The sequence below is a fragment of the Homo sapiens genome, chromosome 8 (genome assembly GCF_000001405.40).
Source record: "Homo sapiens chromosome 8, GRCh38.p14 Primary Assembly".
In the NCBI taxonomy this organism is placed as follows: domain Eukaryota; kingdom Metazoa; phylum Chordata; class Mammalia; order Primates; family Hominidae; genus Homo; species Homo sapiens.
This window is the reverse complement of record NC_000008.11, coordinates 111,722,458-111,729,980: the sequence shown is the minus strand read 5'-3', so window position 1 is coordinate 111,729,980 and position 7,523 is coordinate 111,722,458. Positions and strand designations below refer to the sequence as shown.

Below are 7,523 nucleotides of genomic sequence, written 5' to 3'. Positions count from 1 at the left end.
TTTTAATTTCCTAAAGATCTCACTTTTCTCAGGTGCATTTTTCTTCATAATCAAAATGCCAGCTTAGAATCCCACCTTAACAGCACCACCAAGCAAATCAGCTTGCAAAATAATTTTCCTCACCAAGGTTCCATATCTGTTAGCAGTCCTCATTATTTTATTATTTCTAAATTGCAGCTTCTTAAAGATGTTCTTAATTGAAATCTTGACTGTGTGCTAAACTTACCCACATAAATGATTCTGAAATTACTATAAACATGCTGTCAGTTAACTAGATCAATTAACAATGTTAAGTACAGATCTTTTATGAAATTAATTAAAAGATTCTCATATTTTCCCTGACACACTGATTTCAATTCATTGTAATATGCACTTCTTTTCTGAAATAAATGGCATAAGTTTTATGAACAAATAAGGTAAAATTTTCTTTTAAACCTTACACTGTTTTAAATAGCACTTTCAAATATAGTGATCTAACTTCAGTATCTTTATGGACAGTTTCATAAGTGTATAAAATATATATCATATGTTCAATGTAATGTTTTCTCTCTGAGTTATTTTATTACCTCATGTATCACAATAATTTTCTCCTCTCCCCCATTTTTTTTTTGCTGGTACCTGGTGTCTGTCAGGCATTCACAAGTGTTCAATCAGTCAAAAAAAAAAAAGGTGAATCTATTGTAACACACAGCCCTATACATGTTAATACTTAGACTAAATTCATTACTAAGACATTTTTAGGCAAGAATGCTAATGAATCACTATATTATAATTTTTTCTCCTTTGAGTGGGTGCAGTGGTCTTCAGTAGCAGCAAGAGGCAGGGAAAGCAATTAATTTATTCAGTTGCCATTATCTACTAACTAAAGAAAGCCATTAAGTAGTTTCTCATTTGGAATGGAAGAGGAAACCAGGATTTGTAAACACTTAGTCCATTTACCCTAATCATAACCACAGTTTCCACAACAAAAAATATCAAGCAGGCATTTTAGTGAAGATTCTTTCAGGAAAGCTAGGTATATGCATTCTATTTGTGTCAGTTTGCTAGGGCAGGCATAACAAAGTATCACAGACTGGAGGGTTTAGTCAACAGAACTTTATTTCCTCACAGCCTTGGAGGCCTGATAACAAGCTGAGATCAAGGTATAGGCAGGGTTGGTTTCTTTTAAGGCATCTCTCCTTGGCTCGTAGATGACCCTTGCCCTCCAGTGTTCTCATGTGGTCTTTTCTCTGTGTGTCTGTGCTCCAACCTCCTCTTCTTACAGAGACACTAGTCATATCAGAGTAGGGCCTAACTATATGACCTCGTTTTACCTAAATTTCCTCTGTAAAGTCCATCTCTCCAAATACATTCACATCCTGAGGTACACGGGTTAGGACCTAAACATATGAATTTTGCAGGGACAAAATTCTGCCCATAATACCAACCACTAAAACCTTTTTTTCCTCTATATAATGACAGGCTTAGTTTATATTCAGACCTCTCCCAAATTCTATGGCAATCTTTGCTGAAAGACTGATTTAACTAATTATGTGATACTCTGCACCTGTTTCTGCTTCTCTTGATTTTTTTTTTTCTTCCTCAAGAAAAGGGCTCTGAAAACTGAGGCAATTTGAACAGTACTTGCACTAGGCTTGAATGGATCTTACATTAACTTATTCTAATTGTGATCTTGTTATACTTCACATTTATAGTCACAAGAAATCATTATTTTTTGTAGCCTCTACCCCTTTTTCAGAATTTCTTCTCCTAAATCATAAGTGATTTATAATAGTACAATATATGTGGTATTTTAAGGATAGCAAAATAGTTGTTCATATGCAAACCTTTTATATAAATTTTATAAACTTATTTTTAGCATGTGTTTTTTTTGTCTTCAAATAATGGGTTTCCCTTTTTATCAATAATTGCCAACACTGAATATTACATGATGAGATACAAAGTACGTGTAGTATAGAAGGTAGTTCTACTATAAAATACAGTTTATAACCATAAAGCCAGATTTCTGTGGCAGCCCTTAAACCTTAGCACCTGAACCACTTTTCCGAAGGTATTCAAGGTTCTGAGCTTTTACAATTGAAAAGGCACTAGAGAGACAAAGATGGAAGTATATTTAAGGGAAGTCCTGGAGAGACAGTGCCATGTATGGTGAAGGGTGAGTGGTTAAAGCAGCACAGTAGTTATTCAAGACAGTTCCAATATCATGTTTAGGGCAGGAGATGCGTCTCAAATACTATGCAAATCCCAGTTTGTAAAGAGCCTCATCTGTTAATTTAAGTTAATGCTTTGTTCATCCTGAAGACAGCAAGAAAAAATGAACAATCAGAAAACATTACATACTCTGTCGCTGTGTCTCTCTCTTTGTCTCTCTCACACACACACACACACACACACACACACACACACAACCCATTTGCCAATGATAAAAGTTTCTCATTCTTGAGAGTCTTCTCTTCAGAAAAGTCCATAGAGTCTAGGAAAAAATAAGCAAATGTTTCTCATAGACTAAAGATTGTCATTTTATTGGATGGTGCACAGAAAGGCAGCAGCATAGAATAGGGAAGTTGCTTTACCAGGCAGTGCCAGGAAATAAATCTGACCAACGTTTTAAGACAAGGCTTTGGATTTTTGCATATTCTTGACAAAACCTCCATCACTTCTGTCCGTAAACCACTGCAAGTGTATCTTCTTCTCCCCAACACAGATCAGTTCTGATTTTGTTTTAAGGCATAAGACCCTTTCCTGAAGACATCCTTTATCTTGTCGCTCTCATCAGTGGTGACTGGTTACTCCCTCTCACTGCTCATATCACTGGGACAGGGTGTGTGATAGGGTAGGTGTTCTCTGTTACTGATTTCTCTCTTCTTCTTCCAGATCATTCCAGACCATTCCCCTTTCTCACTCCAATTTCCTTCCCAAATGCTTTACATTTATGTTTTAGATGATACCACACACTACCTCTGTTTGAGAAGTTCTCTGGTATAGTGTTTACATAAGAAGTCAATTTGTTAATTACAGTGTTCTTTATGTATTGGATTATGTTAGTTAATAAAGTTGTTCAAGTCTTCTATATCTTATTGAGTTATTGCTCCTTGTCTTATCACTGATAGAGGAGTGTTAACATGTTCCATGATGATAGTGGATCTTCCCTAATATTCCTTTTAGTTCTGTACATTTGTGATATATATGCACATTTCTCATAGGTTTTTAGTATGTATATATACTCCAGAATATATATATGTGTGTATATATATATACACGTGTGTGTGTGTGTGTGTGTGTATATTTGAATGCATGTAACGTTAGACATGTTGAAGCTTTTTTTGGTGAATGAAAGCATATATCCACACAAAGGTGCATATATAAATGTTCATAACAGCTTTTTGTAATACTAAAACTAAATATAACACAAATTTCCATCAGTGGGTAAATAAATAACCACATTTTAGTACTGAAATGCAATGGACTACTACTTAGCAATTAAAAGTCACAAAGTATTTATAGATACAACTTGAATAAAACAAAATAATTATACTAAGTGAATGAAACCAGACAAGAAAAAGTACGTACTACATGATTCTCTTTATGTAAAATTCTAGAGAAGCTGCAGTGACAGGACACATAGAATTTTTTAGGGTTGGCACGGTGGGAAGAAAAAATGTTACAAATGAATAAAATGGAACTTCTAGGGGTGAATAATATGTTCATTATCTTGATTGTGATGGTAGTTTCAGGTATGTGTGTACATGTGCCAAAACTCACATTGGTCCCCTTAAATTTGTGTAGTTTATTGAAAGTCAGGTATAACTCAATAAACCTAGAATAATTCATTATGGCTGATATTCTTTTAATCTGATAATAGTGTCTAGTTTCTGTAGAATACATTCCAAGCTCATTGTTATATCCCTAAGACCTTCAAGCCTCTCTTCTTTCTCATTTACTACACAGATACTAAGCTCCAGCCGCACTGAACATTCCCATTCTCCAATAAAACAATATTATTTTCTAATGCAAAGAAAAATACATCTGAGACCATGGAAAAAATATCTCTGCTGCAGCATTAAGCTTATTTATTTGTAGGTCTAGTAGAGATTTTTCATTGTTGGCTTTTTTTTTCCTCTCCCCAACCCTTTTTAGGTAAAGCAAAAGAAAGGGCTACGAGAAAACTCTCCAGAGAGAGAGTTAAGCATATTTTTCCAGCATGATATCCTTAAAGAACATGATGATGCATTTAGAATGCTATAAATAGTACTGGGTAATCAAAGAACCTAATTTTCTTTGGTGTCTTCATCAGTGAGAAAATATCAACCTGAATGGGCATTACTCAAGTCTTACACATAATTCATGTTCCTATTATACCTTCTGACTTGGCATTTCACAAAATTTGATTTGAAAAGCCAGACCCAATTTCCCAAGACTTTATAAAACTGTAAAAGCACAGGTAAATTATTGAAGACTCACTGAAAATACAGGAAAATAGGAAAATTTCTAAAATGATATTTTGTTAAACATTAGGACTTATATCAAAATGCAGAAGTTACATTTGATAACTGCTAATATTTCAAAGAACATTTTAGTATGCTTCGTGGCTAAGATTAAAAGTTGTTTACAAATAGATTGTCTTTAGAAATTAATTTTTATTCCAACTAAGTAATTGGAAATTCAACTCCATTTTTGCCTAATAGACATATATTTAGAAGGAAATACAAAACCATACCTTTCACCCTTTAAAGATTCTTCAGTCCTTTCCACCAAGAAGAATTATTACCATAGTGTCATCATAAATTTGATTCATTATACTATGTAAACCCAGAATTCTCCTACAAGTCCAGTTGGTTATGATATTATTTTTTCACTACCCTATTATATAAATAGGTCACTAATGATAAGTAATGAAACAGTTCATTCTGCCATATAGAAAAATTAACAAATGCTGTCATAAGAATACATTCTCATTTTATGTTTGAATATGTGAAAAATGAATGATGAAGCAGCTCATTTCACAGTTTATTAAGGAAAACAAATAAAGAAACCATTAATTCAAGTAGTTCAATAGCTCAAGCCTTACACACAAAAGAGTGTATGACAGCATACCCAGTGCCTATCCATAGGCAGCCATAGGATGAATCAAGTCGGAGCCCTAAATGTAGTGAGATTGGCATTGCTGAAAGTCTGACAATGCATGAAATATGTTGAGTCGATTGTGGTGATTTAGTGACAGTCTGAGAATTAGTTTATTATCTATTTTTGTCCACTAGAATTAAGTTTCATAAAAGCAGGATAGATTTTTGTTTACTCCTGTAACCCAGTGGCCAGAAAAGTGCCTGACACAGAAGGGGAACTCAGGAAATACTTGCTGATGGAATGGGTAAATATGTTACTGAAGTTATGAGATTACTGCACAAAGATAAAACAAGTAGATGGACTATATTTGTAAAAGGCTCAGCTTATATTTATAAAGGCCATCTATCCATGTAGAAATGGAAAAGATCATAAGCAATATAAAATACAGATAACTTGCAGAAGTTTACATGAGCAGACAGGGCAGGCCAACATGGATGTTGGAACACTAAGACAATGACAAGTATGCCACTGCTATTCCTAGAGTGCAAGGAGAAAATCAAGACATTAATTATGGTGCTGGGCACATAGTAATAATTCATATAGGTCTGTGTAAACTTTTACATTGTGAATTGTTGAGCTATTTCTGTACTTTTTCCATTCCTATACTATCTGAGACTACAAATAAACTATTAGAATTAGTGAGTGAATTAGTTAAGGTCAGTTTGGAAATACCAATTTTATTTCTATATGTAAGGCACAGACAAAAAACACAATTTTAAAAGAGAGCAATTTAAAATAGCATTAAAACATATAATAAAATATGTGCAAGAACTTTTCCAAATAAACCATAAAATATAATATTCAAAAAGTAATTAACTTAATAAATAGAAGGTTATACCATATCCTGGTTTCAATGAATTCAAAATTTGATATTATATTAATAAGGTCTCCAAAATTAATTCATAGATATAAAACGATTTCATTCATAATGTCAGGAAGTATTTATTATAAATAAATAAGATGATTGAAAAGTTTATATGGAAATGCAACGGGCTAAGAAAAGCCAATAAAATCTTGAATAAAGAAAAAGTTAGCTGAATTTCCTCTGCCATACATCATGGCTTATTTTAAGATTATAATAATTGAGACAGTGTAGTTTTTTGGGTTTTTTTTTGTTTTTTGTTTTTTTTTTGAGATGGAGTCTCGGTCTGTCACCCAGGCTGGAGTGCAGTGGCGTGATCTCGGCTTACTGCAAGCTCCACCTCCTGGGTTCATGCCATTCTCCTGCCTCAGCCTCCCGAGTAGCTGAGACTACAGACACCCACCACCGTGCCAGACTAAGTTTTTGTATTTTTAGTAGAGATGGGGTTTCACCGTGTTAGCCAGGATGGTCTCGATCTCCTGACCTTGTGATCTGCCCACCTCGGCCTCCCAAAGTGCTGGGATTACAGGTGTGAGCCACCATGCCTGGCCAAGACAGTGTAGTTTTAATAGAAGATTATATGGTTTTGCTCTGTGTCCCCACCCAAATCTCATCTTGAATTGTAATTCCCGCATGTTAAGGGAGGGACTGGGTGGACGATGATTGGATCATAGGGGTGGTTTCTCTCATGCTGTTTTTGTGATAGTGAGGGGAGTTCTCATGAGATCTGGTTATTTGGTAAGTGTCTGGCATTTCCCCTGCTAGGTCTCTCTCCTTCTGTGTTGTGAAGAAGGTGTCTGCTTCTTCTTAGCCTTGTGCCATGATTGCAAGTTTCCTGAGGCCTCCCCAGCCACGCAGAACTGTGAGTCAGTTAAAGCTCTTTTGTACATCAGTTACCCAGTCTCAGGTAGTATCTTTATAGCAGTGTGAGAACAGACTAATACAGAGAACTGTTATCAGCAGAGTGAGATACTCTCATAAAGATGACCTGAAAATGTGAAAGCAATTTTGGAACTGGGTGACAAGCAAAGGTTGGAACAGTTTGGTGGGATCAGAAGAAGACAGGAAGACATGTAGAAGTTTGGAACTTCCTAGAGACCTGTTGAATGATTTTGACCAAAATGCCGATGGACAATGAAGTCCAGGCTGAGGTGGTTGCAGATGGAGATGAGGAACTTATTGGGAACTGGAGCAAAGGACACTCATGCTATGCTTTAGCAAAGAGACTGGTGGCATTTTGCCCCTGCCCTAGGGATCTTTGGAACTTTGAACTTGACAGAGATGAATTAGGGGTATCTGGTGGAAGAAGTTTCTTAGTAGCAAAGCATTCAAGATGTGACCTGGCTTATTATGAAAGTATTCAGTTATATGCACTCACAAAGAGATAGTTTGAAATTGAAACTAATGTCCAAAAGGGAAGCAGAGAATAAAGGTTTGGAAAATTTGCAGTGGATCATGTGGTAGGAAAGAAAAACCCATTTTCTGGGGAATATTCAAGCCAGCTGCAGAAATTTACATAAGTAACAAGGAACTGAAT

The 7,523-nt window shown here is 35.3% G+C and overlaps 1 annotated feature.

Moving 5' to 3' along the window:
* Nucleotides 6,137-6,319: a silencer, noted in NCBI's record as "fragment chr8:112735891-112736073 (GRCh37/hg19 assembly coordinates)". NCBI's record gives its function as "represses an EF-1alpha promoter that drives an FKBP-Casp9 reporter gene in an ReSE screen in phorbol 12-myristate 13-acetate-treated (for megakaryocytic differentiation) K562 erythroleukemia cells {active_cell/tissue: K562(+PMA)}" and the evidence as "EXISTENCE:reporter gene assay evidence [ECO:0000049][PMID:32094911]".